Here is a 17,219-nt window from a genome sequence, read left to right on the forward strand (position 1 = left end):
CCTGTAATCCCAGCACTTTGGGAGGCTGAGGCGAGCAGATCACCTGAGGTCAGGAGTTTGAGACCAGCTTGGCCAACATGGTGAAACCCCATCTCCACTAAAATTACAGAAATTAGCCAGGCATGGTAGCACGTGCCTGTAGCCCCAGCCACTCGGGAGGCTGAGGTGGGAGAATTGCTTGAATCCAGGAGGTGAAGGTTGCAGTGAGCTGAAATCACGCCACTGCACTCCAGCCTGGGTGACAGAGTGGGAAACTGTCTCAAATAAATAAATAAATAAATAAATTGTGAATGATTCATATGTGATGATTTAAAATGTACCCAAGAAAGTATGGTCTATATAATTTGAATGGGGTATTTACCATCCAGAAAAGGAAAAGCAAAAGGAAGACACATCTTGGGTAAAGGCACTCATAACAGTCGTAGACACTATGAGTTTTCTGAAAGGCTTTCTAATGCTTTAAGTAGGACTGAGCAAATAGCCAAAAGGTAAGCAAAAAAAGGAAAGAGAAATTTAAAAAATCTCTTTCCCTCAGTCAGGCAAAGTTTGGCTCCCTGATGACACCTGCTGGCTGATAAAAAGAACAGACCTGAAAGCTTTTCAGTGAAAGTAAATCATTCCACTTAAATTGATGTTTCTATCGAGTTCTTGGTCTGAAGTCATAAACACTATTAGAAATAAATGTAATGGGCTAGGAATGCCAGACAATGGGGTGATTTAGAGAAGTAATGTCCGTTCTTACAAGGCAACCTAGGAAAAGTTGATACCTCCAAATGACTCTAAGAGTTCCCAGGGAAAAAGTGTTCCATACATACATACATTCACTTACTTCAGACAACAGATTCTCGCTGTCTCTTAAGCTGGAATGCAGTGGCATGATCACAGCTCACTGCAGCCTACCTCCCAGGCTCAAGCGATCTTCCTGCCTCAGCCTCCAGAGTAGCAAGGACAACAGGTGTGTGTCACTATGCCCAGCTAATATTTTCTTTTATTGTTGTTTTTTGTAGAGACAGGGTCTCCCTATGTTGCTCAGGCAGGTCTCGAACTCCTGGGCTCAAGTGATCCTCTCGCCTCAGCCTGTCAAAGTGTTGGGATTACAGGCGTGAACCACCATGCCTGGCCTCTTACGTTTTTTTCTACAAAGGTTTTTAATGACAGCAAAATGCCACTCCAGAGGGCTCTAAAAATATCATCTAAATTTATATCTGTGACATAAATTATGTATCTAGATTTGTATCTATATATTCCTACAATAGACATTCAAAGGATTCCACAATCTAGTCCATCCTAACCCACTCCTCCACAAAGCCTTCTCAGCTTTCAATCACATTTACTATCTCTGATCTGTCTACTTCGACAGCATTTACTATTCATGTTACTTCATTTTGTCTATACTTTTTAAAAAATAGACCTTAGTACTTTTTCATGATAATAAAGTTGTGACATTAACTTTGGGTGTGATTTAATGGTGAAGCAGTCTGCAGCATATTAACACTTGAGTTTTACATTTCTCCTACTAACCCATAAATCATCACAAGTAACATTGATAGTTAAAGCATTTTTCTTATGTAGCTTAGGAGGTGCTGCTGTCTCCCTATGTGAGCTTGTTCTGTTTCTCAAAAGCTAGTTTATCAAAGTAGGTGAAAACTCAGAACCAACAAACTGGGTGGGGGGCATGGAAGGTGGTGAGTGAGAGATAACACTTACCTGCTGAAAATTTCAAAATCAAATGCTTTTGAAAACTTACTTTCATATTTATCTTTTCCCATGTAAATAGTGTAGGCAGATGAATTAACTAAGATAAAACAAAAATAAAAAACAATTAGTAACTTCATCACCAACAAAATTGTTTCATGTGAAAAACAAGTGACAATTCTTAGACTAGGGGCTGGCAAACCATGGCCCATGATCCAAATCCAGCCTACCACCTGTTTTTGGACAGCCCTTGAGCTAAGAATGGTTTTTACGTTTTTAAAGGGTTGGAAAAAAAGCAAAACAAAGAAGAATAAGCCACGGAGATTGTAGGTGACTCACAAAGCCTAAAATATTTACTATCTGGCCCCAAAAGAGAAAGTTTACCATCCTTACTAATAGCTACTTTCCTACTTTCTCAGGGTTACAGTTCAATGGTATCGCCAGTCCAGTCCTATACTTTTGCCTTCTTTAAGAGTTAAAAAAAAAAGAAAAGAAAAGAAAACTAAACACCACAACTAAGTTCCCATGTTTACCAAAGTTTTATTGTGCATAATTGTTTTTAGCCAATATTACCCATATTCCAGGTGTGCTGCATATTCTAACAGGCTCTCTATCACATTCAGGGAGACCATGACTCTCCAACTTCTAAACCAGTGACTCTGACCCCTGATCTACATTAGAATCATCTAATTATGCCCCAGCTCCACCTCAGATCAACTCAATCCAAATCTCTGGTGGGCAAGAGTGAGCATCTGTGTTTTCTAAAAGCCTTCCAAGTGATTCTAATATAAGGTCAGGGTTAGAAACAACTATCCTAACTCAAATGGAATCTTCTGGGTATGGTTTATCCTAGAAATGATATTTGCTTTACCAAGGTGGTGTTTTATTGCAGACGTCCCTACCTTGGATTCCTACTGAAAGGATAACTGAGTGCCAGGTTTCAAAGCTAGTTTACCAAAACTTGTTTGATCCAATTGGACTAAACTCCTGAATTCATAGACACTGGGCCCTCAGGCTACAAAGCCTGTGATGGAGAAGTACTGAAAAATAAATACACACTGAAGCAAAGTACTGATAAGTGCAGGGTTGGGCTGAACAGCCTGCTGGCTATCACTCCACAGCACAGAACACACACATGTACCTGGAGCCCTGAAGGACAAAGGGCAATACGCTCTCCTAAATTAAAAAGCCTTATATCAGAGAGATGCCCTGTACTTTCAGTAATGAGAAGCTTCTTAAATGATCAATCCTAGTTGCCTTTCTCGGGGGAGAGAAAACTAATTCCTTTGTTTAACATTTATAATAACTGAAGTCCAGAAGTAGTTGAGAAAAGTACCTTGAAAGAATGTGTGCATCGCCAAGTTTATAGAAATGCTTGTCTATTATTGAGCATTGTAGTACCTTGATCAGGCCTTAGTGTAGCGTGTAACAAATGCCAAAAGGGTGGGAATAAAACTAAAAAGCATTTCAGATTTTCTCTGCATGGCCTGGCAATAGTTCAAGTGTATACCCTTTCAATCCTATAACGTCACTACCTATAATGTTACCATAATAGAGTACCAAAATACTCCACCAAGCAATAATCTTTTTACAACCTAAACATCCCTTAATAGAGACTCTTTAAATATATTACAGATTTGAACATCCATAAACAAAATACCATGTACCCATTAAAAAGAAACGGCAGGTGAAGAAATTAAATATCCGAACAGTATTTTTGTGTATCTATATGATTCAATTTATAAAAAATAAATGATTATAATGGTATGTGTGTGTATATACATACACATACATGTTTTATTTTTATATAAGCACATACTTCATATGTATGGAAGCATAAACATTTTTTAACAACAGTTACCTTGGTTAGCCTGCTATAAAACATACAGATGGCTTTTGTAATTAGAACAGAATTTTCAAAATAACAATATAGGCCAGGTGCAGTGGCTCACACCTGTAATCCCAGCACTTCAGGAGGCCGCGGTGGGCAGATCACTTGAGGCCAGAAGTTTGAGACCAGCCCGGCCAACATGTTGAAACCCCATCTCTACTAAAAATACAAAAATTAGCCAGGTGTGGTGGCACACGCCAGTGGTTCCAGCTACTGGAGAGGCTCAGGCATGAGGATTGCTTGAACCTGGGAGGCAGAGGTTGCAGCGAGCCAAGATCATGCCACTGCACTCCAGCCTGAGTGACAGCAAGACTGTCTCAAAAAAGAAAAAATAATAACTGATATAAAATATTAATAAAGTTGTCTCTGCAGGCCAAGCTGTCTAAGCTACAGCCAAAATAATAATAGAGGAATGTTTTGATGGTTGACTTATTAAATGAGGTGATTAAGAAAATGGCCATAACAAACCTAAAGTGAGGGGCATTCTACAAAATAATTCAACTAACAATGCCATGAAAGACAAAGACTGAGCAATTGCTCGCGATTAGAGGAGGCTACAGAATAATGACACCTGAAGAATGCAACAATGATTTGTAAGGTATTTTTTGTTACAAATACATCATTAGGACACTAATGGGTACGGAATAAAGCCTGTTGATTAGATAATCGCATTGCTGCAATGTTAATTTCCTAATTTTGATGATGAAAAACGTCTTTTGAGAAGAGAATGCCCTTGATTTTAGAAAATAAATCTGAAGCATTCAGGGGTTAACTGCAACTTACAAACGTTTCAGGAAAAAGGTGTGTGCAAGAGAAAAAAATAGAGAAAAAGAGAAACGGAAAAAGAAAGACAAGGCATGTAGTAAAATGTCAGAATTTGTAGTCACAGTGGCTCACGTCTGTAATCCCACCACTTTGGGAGGCTGAGGCAGGTGGATTACTTGGGCCCAGGAGCTCGGGACCATCCTGGGCAATATGAGGAAACCCTGTCTCTATAAAAAAAAAATTTTTTTAATTAGCTGGGTGTGGTGGCTAAAGTGGGAGGATCACTTGAGCCCAAGAAGTTGAGGCTGCAATGATCTGTGACTGCACCACTACACTTGCCACTACACTTCGGCCTGGGTGACAGAGCAAGACTGTCTCAAAAAAAATTGGGGGACTCTGGGAGAATATACAGGAAATCTTTTACTATACTTGCAACTTCTCTGAAAGACTGAAATTATGTCATAATAGAAAATTAGTCTGGGCGCAGTGGCTCATGCATGTAATCCCAACACTTTGGGAGGCTGAAGCGGGAGGATCACTTGAGGCCAGGAGTTCAAGACCAGCCTGGCCAATATGGCGAAACCCTGTCTCCACTAAAAATTCAAAAATTAGTCAGCCGTAGTAGCACATGCCTGTAATCCCAGCTACTAAGGAGGCTGAGGCAAGAGAATCGCTTGAACCTAGGAGGCAGAAGTCGCAGTGAGTCGAGATCATGCCACTGCACTCCAGCCTGGGAGACAGAGCAAGACTCCATCTCAAAAAAAAAAAAAAAAGAAAAGAAAATGAAAAATAAAAAGGAACATCATTGCTGCACAACAAGTCTGAATTAAGTTCCTTTCCATGTTAAGAAGGAAAAGTAAACTGAATTATTCTAGTTCATTTGTTATTCTCATCTAAATAATATGGTTGATTAGTACTGGAACCGGTTATTTGGAAGACACTTGACTTACGGGTAGCAACCAACCCAACTTCAGAGGTGATCTGATTATTTCACAATTTATAGAACAATCTACTTTTAGGCAGATGATATTAACAGGTATTAAAAGTACAAGTGGACTTTGAGCCAAGTATCTATAATCAGATGGTCTTAAATGTGACACTGGACTTATTAGACTAATGTTCAATTATTCCCTTATGAGACAGCATGAAAGAATGAAAATGGAACACATTTTAGTCAGATATTAATCTTAAAATGTAAAAGAACAACTTCCTATGAAGATTTTCTTCCCATTTTAAAAAAGTTTTTATGCAGTAAAAACCATCAGTTAGTTAAAAACTTGGCAAGCCATACAAATTCATTTCCTGAAGATTCTATATATTTGTTGTTTCTATACTGCCAATATGTAAAGTCTCATTACTATTTTACTGAGAAAGTTATGATTTTTCCATTAACTTTGCAGTTTTAAAAGATCAGCTGCACAAGTGCACTTTTATTAGGCTTAGAGGCCAAATATTTTTCTAACAGGAAACAGTTCTGACATTATAATGGAAGTCAATGAAAAAAAAACAGGACCCACAAATCTAGTGAAGCATTTTGCTCTATTAAGGGCAGATGTGTATGTGTGACTAACACTTAAAGAATTCAGAGTAACTTTAAGGGGAATAGAACAGCACAAAATACATTCAGTACCTATACACCCTGCCTGTATATTTGTTTTTCCATTGTTGGGTTTATATGGATATCTATGTTGTTGAAGATTCACAACTGGAGAAGTTATAAAGAGATGCCTGAGTTGCCAAGGACGAAAATGCTTAGAGGCCTATAAGGGTATATGATTTTTCAGGCTGGTTTTGAATTTTGTTTCTAGTAATTTTAATAATATGGGTAAAACAAACCACATGTACAGAGACAGAGAAATAGCTCATGGCACACACTGTGGAAGGCTAAACTACTGAGAAAAATAAGGAGATGTCAGTGTGATGAAGGTGGAAGAGTAGGGTCTGTGAGTTACAACTTCCCTGAGCCTCAATCTTACTTCTAAAGAGAAAGTATTGCCTTATTCAAACCCACACAAACAATGTGGAACTAGTTTCACTTAAATCTTACCTTTTGGCTGAGCGTGGTGATTCACGCCTTTAATCCTAGCACTTTGGAAGGCCGAGGCGGGTGGATCACTTGAGGTAAGGAGTTCGAGACTAGCCTGGCCAATATGGTGAAACCCCGTTTCTACTAACAAAATACAAAAATTAGCCACGCATGGTGGCGTGTGCCTGTAATCCCAGCTACTTGGGAGACTGAGGCAGTAGAATTGCTTGAACCCAGGAGGTAGAGGTTGCAGTGAACTGAGATCACACCACCGTACTCTAGCCCGAGTGACAGAGGGAGACTCCATCTCAAAAAAACAAAAAACAAAACAAAACAAAAACTCACCTTTTGTAATTCCAGCACTTTGGGAGGTTAAGGTGGGTAGATCACTTGAGCTCAGGAGTTCAAGACCAGCCTGAGCAACATGATGAAACCCCATCTTTACTAAAAATACAAAAATCAGCCAGGCATGTTGGCTGGTCCCTGTAATCCTAGCTGTACCAGAATCGCTTGAACCCAGGAGATGGAGGTTGCAGTAAGCTGAGATCGTGCCACTGCACTCTAGCCTGGGTGACAAAGCAAGACTCCGTCTCAAAAATAAATAAAATAAATCTCACCTTTAGACCGGGCGCAGTGGCTCATGCTGGTAATCCCAGCACTTTGGGAGGCTGAGGCAGGCAGATCACCTGAGGTCGGGAGTTCAAGACCAGCCTGACCAACATGGAGAAACCCCGTCTCTACTAAAAAAATACAAAATTAGCCAGGCTTGGTGGCGCATTCCTGTAATCCCAGCTACACAGGAGGCTGAGGCAGCAGAATCGCTTGAACCCGGGAGGCAGAGGTTGCAGTGAGCCGAGATCGTGCCATTGCACTCCAGCCTGGGCAACAAGAGCAAAACTCCGTCTCCAAAAAAAAAAAAAACAAAAACAAAAACAAAAAACTCACCTTTAACAAGCATATAGAGTAGCAATAGAATAGAAAGTGCTATAAGTAAGTAAAAAAATGGCATTCATTTATTCAACAAGCATTTATTGAGAACTACTAACCAGTCACTACGTTAGGGAAACAAGTACAGTAGTCCCCCCTTATCTGTGGGGGATGTCTTCCAAGATCTCCAGCAGATGCCTGAAACCGAGGACAACACTGAATTCCATATATAAAGGGACTTGCCACATAATGATGCTTTGGTCAGCAACAAACCACACATACTATGGTGGTCCCATAACATTATAACGAAGCTGAAAAATTCTGATCACTATTGCCTGATGACCTGGTAGCCATCATAACAGCGTGGTGCAACTCACTTTTTCTACGTTGAGACCCGTTTAAATACACAAACACCATTGCGTTACCATTGCCTACAGCCATTCAGTACAGCAACGTGCTGTACAAGTTTGTACCCTAGGAGCAACGGTATACTGTACAGCCTACATTTGTGGTAGGCTATACCACAGGTTTAAGTATACTCTACCGTGTTGCTACAACAATGAAACCGCCTAATGGAGCATTTCTCAGAATGTATTCTTGTCATTAAGGGACGCATGGCTACTGGTATTCCCTATATATGTATACCTATGATAAAGTTAATGTATCAGTTCGGTGGAGTAAGAGATTATTGACAATAACTAATAATAAAATAGAACGATTATAACAACGTACTGTAATAAAAGTTAGGTGACTCTGCTCTCTCTCTCTCTCAAAACCTTATTGTACTGTACTCACTCCTTTTCTTCTTGTGATGATGTGACCACGGAAAGCGAAATACAGGACAAGTAGGGACTACTGTAAAGAGATCCTGTCCACGCCCTCAAGGGACTTACACTCTAGCTCAAGCAGACACCATTTAATACCACGTGATAAGTGCAATGCCAAAGGCATACTTGGAACGTTAAGTGGGTCCCAGGAAAGGAATAGCTAAGCAATCTTGGGGTAGGAGCTAGCATCAGGAAAGGCATCTTGGAAAAGATGGGCCAAAACTGTCTTAAGGGAATTAGCTGGGGGTTGATTTTAGGAAAGGGGAATAACAGGAACAGAACGAAACCAAGTCGGGACACTGCATTTCCTGGGAACGAAGGGCACCCTTTCCTTATCTGTCAAAGATAAGTCAGAAGCATTACCATAGGTCACTTCTGAGATCTGGGACATCAACTGCCCGGAGAGTGGCTGGGTGGACATCCCAGGGTCTTTTTATTGTTTTCTGTTGCATCCCAGACCCTACAACCCCTTCCTGAAAGGGTAAGTCGCGCTTCCCTTAAGAAAAAGTTGTTAGCAGGTGTCTCCTTTCTCACAGGGGATAATTACAAGGGTTCAGCCAGAACAAAGGCCGCAGATGGAAGGTGGGAAGAAGACTTGGGATAAGGTGTGTGGAGGAGCCCACAGGCTCTGCCCAATCCCAGGGAGTGACGGGACGTCTTTCCGATTAGGGGACGAGAACTCCCCGATACAAACATAGCAGTGGCATCGCCCCTCCGCGCCCCCCACGCCATGACGAGGGGACGCCGGGGGAAATCCTGCAGCCGTGGGAGGGACGGATGTGCTGGGGGACCGAGAGGCCGCGGGAAGAGGCACTCGCATCCAGAAGGCATTTTAGAGCGAGGGTCAGGCGCAGCGGCGGACTGCGGGTCCCGGCTTCGGAGCCCGCTGTCCAGCAGGGTCCAGGAGGACGTGGCGCCCACTCACCGCTGCTGCTGGTGAAGTAGAACACCATGATCCCGGGAGCGGTGCGGTGACTCCACCGCGGAGCAGCAGCGCTCAACTCACGAAGCTCAGGATACCAGACTCGCGGCGGCCGCCTGGCCCCCGGAACTCCTCCGTGCACTTCCGGCGGACGTCGGGGCGCGTCATAACGCCGGCCGTGGGCGCCATTTTTAATCCTGGCGAGGCGAAGTGTAGTGGCAAGGAGTTTGGTTCAGTGATTTGTGGGTTAAGGGAAAGAGGCTGGGCATCTTGGGCACGTTAGTTAACCTGTCTGTGCTTCACTTTCCTCAGCAGCGAAATGAAGATGATACTAGAGCAGCTAACTCACAGGATATTTTTTAGGGTTAAATAAGTTAATGGGCGCCAAGGGTTTAGAACATAGCACACAAACGAGTTGTTTCTGATACTCACCAGGACAATATGCCTCTTGGGGATTGGACTTTGTTCTGGCTTAAATCGAAGGCCTGCCATCCCAAACCTCTGAACCTCAGAGGTCCTCCTGCTATAAAGTAGGAATAATCATATTCATGTAAAGCTCCTACAGCACTTGGCTTTGCCCTGATTATTTCTCTTGAGAAAGCACTTTTATCTGAGGAATGTGAGTCCCTTTAAATTACTAGGTCTGGAGAGGCATTAAGATAAGACCCCATCATGTTCTACCACCCCCTTGAGCTATGTATTCATCTACTGAAACTACCTGCTTCTGCCACAGGTAGCTACCTACTAACCTAACACTGCCACACAAGACACTATGACATGACCCACACCCTATAGTTTAACAATGTCTAGCCAATCACTGATGCTTGTAGTTTCTATACATCAATGAGAATGCTTGACAGTTGTGTATCAGCCCACTTCCTGCCCCCCTTCTTCGTCTTTAAAAACCTGCTTGTAGCAAAGGCCAGACAGAGCTCATATCCAAGCCTGCTGGTGGAGGGCGGTGGGGGGAGGGGGGTTGGAATCTTCTGGGCAGCTGTCCCCGCTTTAACTCAAGCAAACTCTACATTCTTTTTTTTTTTGCCTCAGCCTTTTCCTTTTAAACTGACACTCTTACATCACTGTCACTGACTTCATTCTATGAAATTGAGGGCGTCACTTAACGAAATTTATTTACATGCTTGCTTTGACAGCATGTATACTAAAATTGGAATGATACAGAGAACTTTAACATGGCCCCTGCTCAAGGATGACATACAAATTTGTGAAAATTAAATTTGAAAAAATAAACATAAAACTCTAAACTTATTTGAAACTAAAAATGTGCCAGAAACACTGTACCAGGAGCTGGTGACACAAAGATAGTAACAATAGCTAACAATAACCGTTTTAGGAACTTTCTGGTTTTCCAAAGTAAGAATTTAGCTCTGTTCTGTAAATAGCAATTGTTTTGGGTTCTCCGTTGTATTATTTGTAAAATGGGAATGGCAATAGATATTAATGCCTTACAGATTGTGGTAAGAAGTAAATGAAACAAAACATGTAAAGCATCTAAGAATGCCTGGCACATAGCAGGTGTTAAGTTTTATATTTTAATTTGAAAAATAAATAGAAACCTAAAGTTACTAATAAAAAAAGTGAAACTGACAATGAAGCTTCAAATGTGAAAAATAAGTGCATCGAGAATCTTGGAGAGGCCTTTATTTATTTATTTATTTATTTATTTTTGAGACGGAGTCTTGCTCTGTCGCCAGGCTGGAGAGGCCATTTTACAAAAATTTCTTACCCCGTGACCCCAGAATGTATCTCAACTTCAACTGGACCGAGAACTACAATTCCCAGAATGCACCTAAACAAGGCCCCGGGAACGGAGTCCGGCGTTGCTGCAGGGGATTGTGGGTGGCGTGGTTTCCCTCAGAGATTTTTCACCTCACCAGGGCGCGAGAATCTTGGAAACAGCCACCAGGGTGGGCGGGGCAAGGGCTGGTGCTCCACCAATCACCGAGCCAGCCCCTGGAAGCGCTGAGCCGTGGCCAATCGGAACGCAGCGGCTTCCTCCTAGCCTGGCGCGCGATTATTTGAAGACGCTCACGGAGCGGCTGGCTAGGCTGAGGAGAGCTCGCCGGGCTCTGAGGCGCAGGTAACCTCTGGAGTAGGCCGAGGCGGGGGGCTGTGGAAGGCTGAGGCGAGCGGGAGACCCTGTGGAACGTGGGGGCGAATGTCACGGGGAAAGAGCTTTTGCTCGGCGCTCGGCAGGTCCGCAGGCCCGAGACCGAAGAAGCCACTGACTCGTTCTCCGCGCTCACAGGCGCCGGGTTTCCCTCTTCCCGACGCCGGCGTTTCCTTGTTTTGGGTTTAGGGTTTGTTTGTTTGTTTGTTTCCCTGACCGGGTTCAGGGTCGGGACGCTTTCCTCTCCTACCTTTCCTCGCTTAGCCCCAGAGGGGTCCCCCCTTAAGCCGCAGCTCGACCTGAATTCCCAGAGACCCTGGCCTTTCAGTTTGTTCATTCATTAATAGCTTTGAAATAACGCTTGTGTGCTGCTTTGGGGGGAATTTCCCTGATCCCAGGGAAGGGGAAGGAAATGAATTCTGACGAGCCACGTAGCCGCCTGCTCGTGCATTCTAGCATTTGTTTTCAGCAGCCTTACGACTTCAAGAGATTTTTATAAAAAGGGAAGCAAACGGCTTGCTCCGGGCTCATCAGCTAGGAAAATGGCAGAGGACTGTGCTTCACCCGTTTTCTTGCTGGGCTCTGATGAAAAGTTACAGACGGTCTCTGCCTTCATTGAAGGCTGTTGAGATGGGGAAACAAGAAAATGTCTTAAATGGACTATTAGGGAAATACAGGGTGCCATGGAAGCAGAACAAGCGCGTGTAACCCTTGGAGGGGTGGAAGGAGAGCAATGTCGAGGAAGACCTCCCAGAAAATAGGGTTTTAACTTGGTGTGAAATAGACTAATTAAAGGGGGTATAATTTTGATAAAGCGATTTTTAATATTTTGATGAATGTGGTTATTGTCATTTCTTTTAGGAATTCAATAAAGAAAATGGCAGCTCTTACTCCAAGGAAGAGGAAGCAGGATTCTTTGAAGTGTGACAGGTGAATCTCAGCCTGTGAATAGAAACTCTTAGAAAAATCCACCTTCTTGTCTCTCTTGTTCTCTCCTATTTTCTAAAATTTTCGTTCTTCCACTAGCCTACTCCTTGTGGCTACAGTGATAACCTGATAACCTATATTCTAATTCTAGCTTGGAAATACATTAAGTTTTCATAATGAATTATTTAGTCCTTTTCAAGGGAATCAAAGCTGTTTTTTAGTTTTTGTTTTTTTCTTTTGACATAGAAGCAGCACATTGAAGAAAGCTGTTTTCTATAGCTAGGAAATATACCAAATCAGCTATTACCTTTTTCCTTTCTGTTCCCCTATAATATTTTACAGTGTTTTGCATACAGTAGATGCTTGTCTGGAAACAATTCTAGAAAGACTGTGTACTCAGATATTAATTACTCTACCCAGGAAAAGCCCCAGGGGGTCAGTTCATTACAGACAGTTATTATAGGGGGCTTGTAAACAATAGAGCAAAATATATGAGCTATAATTTATATATGGCCAACACATAGAAATCGATTTTAAAACATACATGCATATATGTCTATCATAGCTTCTTTGTATATAGTATTTGTTTTCATGAACTCTTTGGGAAGATATTTGAATGTTTTATTTGATAAAGACAGAATTTGAGAATCCTACTGTTAAACTAATAGAAAATTGTGTGTATGGGGGGTACATGTATTGTTTTTAATATGACCTACAAGTAGAGCTTACTTAGCAGTAGATTTATGTAAATTTTGACGCAAAATAATCTTATCAATGGACTTTGTTTCTTTTTATAGCCTTTTACACTTCACTGAAAATCTGTTTCCATCACCTAATAAAAAGCACTGTTTTTATCAAAACAGTGATAAAAATGAAGAAAACCTGCATTGCTCTCAACAAGAGCATTTTGTTTTAAGTGCGCTCAAAACAACTGAAATAAATAGACTGCCATCAGCAAATCAAGGCTCACCATTTAAATCTGCGCTCTCCACTGTATCTTTTTACAACCAAAATAAGTGGTACCTCAATCCACTGGAGAGAAAGCTGATAAAAGAGAGTAGATCTACTTGTCTAAAAACTAATGATGAAGATAAATCTTTTCCCATTGTGACAGAAAAAATGCAAGGAAAACCAGTCTGCTCCAAGAAGAACAACAAAAAACCACAGAAGAGTTTAACTGCTAAGTATCAACCAAAGTATAGACACATCAAGCCTGTATCAAGGAATTCTAGAAATTCCAAGCAAAATCGAGTGATCTATAAGCCAATTGTGGAGAAGGAAAATAATTGTCATTCAGCTGAAAATAATTCCAATGCTCCTCGGGTTCTGAGCCAAAAAATAAAACCACAAGTTACACTCCAGGGTGGAGCAGCATTTTTTGTTAGAAAAAAATCTTCTCTTAGAAAATCGTCCCTGGAAAATGAGCCGTCACTGGGACGCACCCAAAAGAGTAAATCAGAAGTCATTGAAGATTCTGATGTAGAGACTGTCAGTGAAAAAAAAACTTTTGCGACAAGGCAAGTGCCAAAGTGCTTGGTCCTAGAAGAGAAATTGAAAATTGGACTACTGAGTGCAAGCAGTAAAAATAAAGAGAAATTAATAAAGGTAAAGCTAAATATATCACTTTAAAAATGGCTGTATAACAAAACTTCAGTATAAATGACATAGTTGAATAAAATTTTATTTTCTGGACTGCTTTTATAAAGCCAGATAGCATAGTGTTTAGTTACTGTAAGGAGTTTATTTATTTATTTATTTTAAGACAGGGTCTTTCTTTATGACCCAGGCTGTAGTGCAGTGGCACACTGCTCACTACAGCCTCAACCTCCTAGGCTCAAGCAATCCCACCTCAGCCTCCCAAGTAGCTGGTACTATAGATGCACACCACCTCACCCGGCTAATTCTTGCATTTTTTGTAGAGGCTGGGGTTTCACCATGTTGCCCAGGCTGGTCTCGCACTGCTGGGCTATAGTGATCCACCTGCCTCACCCTCCCAAATTGCTGGGATTATGGGTGTGAACCACTGCACCTGGCCCAGCCACATTTTAAGTTCTCAATAGTTACATGTAGCTGGTGGCTACCATATTAGACCATGCTGGTCTAGAACTTCTGTTGCTGACCTCCTGTTTATATCCTTCATCAGAAAAAAAGTTGAGTTTTGTGGGGCAGCTAGGGGCAGAAAGCCATTGAAGCAACCTTAAGAGAGGTTGTCTCCAGATCAGGGCTTCCATGTATGGTGGCTTGTTTATATTCATCACAACCCTTGTAGCTGGAGAAATGATAGGCTTATATGATACCCAGTACACTCAGGCTTATAGTCATGTCTTTCCTAACCCACCTCTCATCATTGCCTTCCTCACTAGTTTCTCTCAAATTCAACCCCAGTCCATATCTCTCGTAATCACCTAAATTTCAAACCTCAGTGGCAAAGATAATAAATTGGTGGCCAGTAAACCAAATCTCACCCATAAATGTTTTGCTTGGCCTACATAATTTAAAAGTTGGAGCCAAAATTATTTTTAAATACAAGAAAAACATTTCTGGTGTCTCATGAAATATTGAAAGCTGAGCCTTCATTTCTACATGGCAATAATCAGAGCTGAATATCAGGCTGAGTATCATACCATTTGACAAATATGGGTTCTTCATTTCTCTAAGTCAGTGTATATCTATCTATTTAGATCAGTTTAGTTTTGATCATTTTACTTACTGCTGCCCTTGTAAGGCATTTAAGTTTTTAGTCCTCACTGTAAATGTTTGTTTTTTTTCCTGTTTATCGAGTATGGCCAAGTAGATTGTTAAATGAGATACGTTCTTGCTAGCTAAGCCATGACAGTCTAATTTTACTAATTCATTTTCTGTTTATATCAACAAAACACTTCTGTGTCTTGATAGGGATTTTGATTACAAGAGTAAGCTTTATCAAAATGTATTAAACTGTGCTTTATACTTATACATTTGTATGAAAATTAAGTTTTTTGAAAGTTTGGGGCGTAACTCAAGCTAAAATTGTCTCAATCCAGTAAAACAAAGGAAGAGTCTGCAGTTTCCCCATGCATCTCCTGATGATTATTCTTATCTGTTTGGTACAGCCTGGTGGTGTACCAAATGAATGGTGACCTGATGAATTCTCTGTAACCAGTGTAACAGAGAATTCTGTAATTCTCTTTTCTGTCTTATTTTCTTTTTCTTAGCTTCACTTTACGGGTTTGGTATTGAGTTAGTTTTCAGTAGTTTGGGAAGCTGGGCTTTTGTGCATTTTAAATTTGTGGAACGGGGCTATGCTCTTTCAAGATTTTGCTAAATACCCATGTCTGGGATTCGTCTCTGCTAGCTAAGGGCGAATCTGATTTTCTGTTTTTTTATTTTGAGATGGAGTCTCACTCCGTTGCCCAGGCTGGAGTGCAGTGGCATGATCTCAACTCACTGCAACCTCCGCCTCCCAGGTTCAAGCAATTCTCTGCCTCAGCCTCCCAAGTAGCTGGTATTGTAGGCACCGGCCACCACACCTGGCTAATTTTTGTATTTTTAGTAGGAACGGGGTTTCACCCTCTCAGCCAGGCTGGTCTTGAACTCCTGACTTTGTGATCCACCTGCCTTGGCCACCCAAAGTGCTGGTATTACAAGTGTGAGCCACCGCGCCTGGCCGGTGAATCTGATTTTTGTGAGGATACCCTTTCCCCAACTCATGGAGCCCTGAAAAGTGTTAAACTGATGGGTTATCCCACCTCTGCTGGGATATTATGGTTTTGAGTAGAAGTTCTACTTTAACCAAGAGTTTTTTTCCTTTTTCCCCAAGCTATATATTCCCTAGTAATTCCCAAATTAGTATGAGGGAAATCTGTCAGGATTTTTTTCTACTTTGCTTTTCCCACATTCCTGCTACTCTCCAGTGACTCTAGAATGTTCTTTCCTTAGCTGCTGATTTTTAAAGTTTATGGCAAAAAGTTGTCCCTTTCCAGTTTGGTGGCTGCTGGGGAAACTTTTGCCATTTTTACTGGCTTTTTTGTTCATTTCATTATGGAAGTGATGGTCTGTAATCATTCTGCCATCTCTGTCAGGAAGTATAACACATTTTTGAGAGGATGACAGATTACAACACGTGTACTCTGGCTTTTTTTTCTTTTGAGACAGTCTTGCTCTGTTGCCAGGCTGGAGTGCAGTGGCACGATCTTGGCTCACTGCAACCTCCGCCTCCTGGGTTCAAGCAATTCTCCTGCCTCAGCCTCCCGAGTAGCTGGGACTGCAGGTGCCACCACGCCCAGCTAATTTTTGTATTTTTAGTAGAGATAGGGTTTCACCATGTTAGCCAGGATGGTCTCAATCCCTTGACCTCGCAATCTACCCACCTCGGCCTCCCAAAGTGCTGGCATTACAGGCATGAGCCACCGGGCCCTGCTGTACTCTGGCTTTAAAGGTAATGTACGCTTAGTGAATACAGGGGAAGTTTTCCTAAAAATAGTTTGAAAATTGATTGAAAATCACATTATGAAATGTAATTCATAATAAACCAAATCTTTTGTTTTAGAAATAGATCTGCTGGGATTCATTCACTAGAAAATAGTTAAAAATTACAGATGTTTGGTTTTTTTTTTAAACCTATTTTCAGGATTCATCAGATGACAGAGTTTCTTCAAAGGAACATAAAGTTGATAAAAATGAGGCTTTTTCTTCAGAGGATTCTCTTGGTGAGAATAAGACAAGTAAGAGAAAACTCGCATGAATTTAGCTGCTTAAAATAATGCTTTATTACATACATTATACAATAATAATTCTTGTAATTTCTGGGTCTTTCTTTTTTCAGTAGCGTGCCTGTGGTTAGTATCTTTGTTTATCTCTGTGACACTGTTTTCTGTAGTAAAGCAGTGCATTGCGTTTTGAAAAACAAGAAACAAGGAGATCCTAGGTTAAAATTTTAGACAAAATATTAGGCTTAATTGGTCTATGGCTGTGGCCAAGTTACTTAAGCTCTCTAGAGTTGAGTGTTCTCATTATAAAATCATACCTACTCTATCTTTCACCCAAAATAATAGAAGTTAAAACTATTATGTATATTTGTGATCAAAGCCCAATTGTGAGCAGAACTTACTAAGTTTTATAAGTGACACTGA

General features: G+C 41.2%; 2 protein-coding genes and 1 pseudogene across 14 annotated transcripts in view, besides 3 other annotated features; 2 read left to right on the top strand and 1 right to left on the bottom strand.

Moving 5' to 3' along the window:
* CCDC25 (coiled-coil domain containing 25) overlaps positions 1-9,184 on the bottom strand; it is a 39,325-nt gene extending 30,141 nt beyond the window's left edge. For 7 of the 9 annotated variants that reach the window (NR_130762.2, NR_130761.2, NR_156432.2 and 4 more), the window contains exons 1-2: positions 9,057-9,184; positions 1,748-1,795 (exon numbers count right to left, since the gene is read on the bottom strand). Coding sequence is in view for 2 of the 9 variants with exons in the window: in NM_001304529.2 (NP_001291458.1) it covers positions 1,748-1,795; positions 9,057-9,084 (76 nt within the window). In the remaining 7 variants the exon portion in view is untranslated. Of the gene's footprint in view, positions 1-829; positions 890-1,747; positions 1,796-9,056 lie in introns of those variants that run through there. The other 2 variants (XM_011544571.3, XM_011544570.3) reach the window with 1 other exon arrangement.
* ESCO2 (establishment of sister chromatid cohesion N-acetyltransferase 2) overlaps positions 8,518-17,219 on the top strand; it is a 47,687-nt gene continuing 38,985 nt past the window's right edge. For 4 of the 5 annotated variants that reach the window (XR_949378.4, XR_007060703.1, XM_011544422.3 and 1 more), the window contains exons 1-4: positions 11,098-11,151; positions 12,043-12,111; positions 12,906-13,713; positions 16,718-16,811. Coding sequence is in view for 3 of the 5 variants with exons in the window: in XM_011544422.3 (XP_011542724.1) it covers positions 12,059-12,111; positions 12,906-13,713; positions 16,718-16,811 (955 nt within the window). In the remaining 2 variants the exon portion in view is untranslated. Of the gene's footprint in view, positions 8,613-11,097; positions 11,152-12,042; positions 12,112-12,905; positions 13,714-16,717; positions 16,812-17,219 lie in introns of those variants that run through there. The other variant, XM_011544421.3, reaches the window with a different exon arrangement.
* Positions 8,868-9,177: an enhancer, noted in NCBI's record as "active region_27155". NCBI's record gives its function as "activates an Ori minimal core promoter by ATAC-STARR-seq in GM12878 lymphoblastoid cells {active_cell/tissue: GM12878}" and the evidence as "EXISTENCE:reporter gene assay evidence [ECO:0000049][PMID:35858748]".
* RNU6-1276P (RNA, U6 small nuclear 1276, pseudogene) lies at positions 10,189-10,292 on the top strand (annotated as a pseudogene).
* Positions 10,726-10,875: an enhancer, noted in NCBI's record as "active region_27156". NCBI's record gives its function as "activates an Ori minimal core promoter by ATAC-STARR-seq in GM12878 lymphoblastoid cells {active_cell/tissue: GM12878}" and the evidence as "EXISTENCE:reporter gene assay evidence [ECO:0000049][PMID:35858748]".
* Positions 10,986-11,155: a silencer, noted in NCBI's record as "silent region_19051". NCBI's record gives its function as "represses an Ori minimal core promoter by ATAC-STARR-seq in GM12878 lymphoblastoid cells {active_cell/tissue: GM12878}" and the evidence as "EXISTENCE:reporter gene assay evidence [ECO:0000049][PMID:35858748]".

This window comes from Homo sapiens, chromosome 8, assembly GCF_000001405.40.
Source record: "Homo sapiens chromosome 8, GRCh38.p14 Primary Assembly".
NCBI classification, from domain to species: Eukaryota; Metazoa; Chordata; class Mammalia; order Primates; family Hominidae; genus Homo; species Homo sapiens.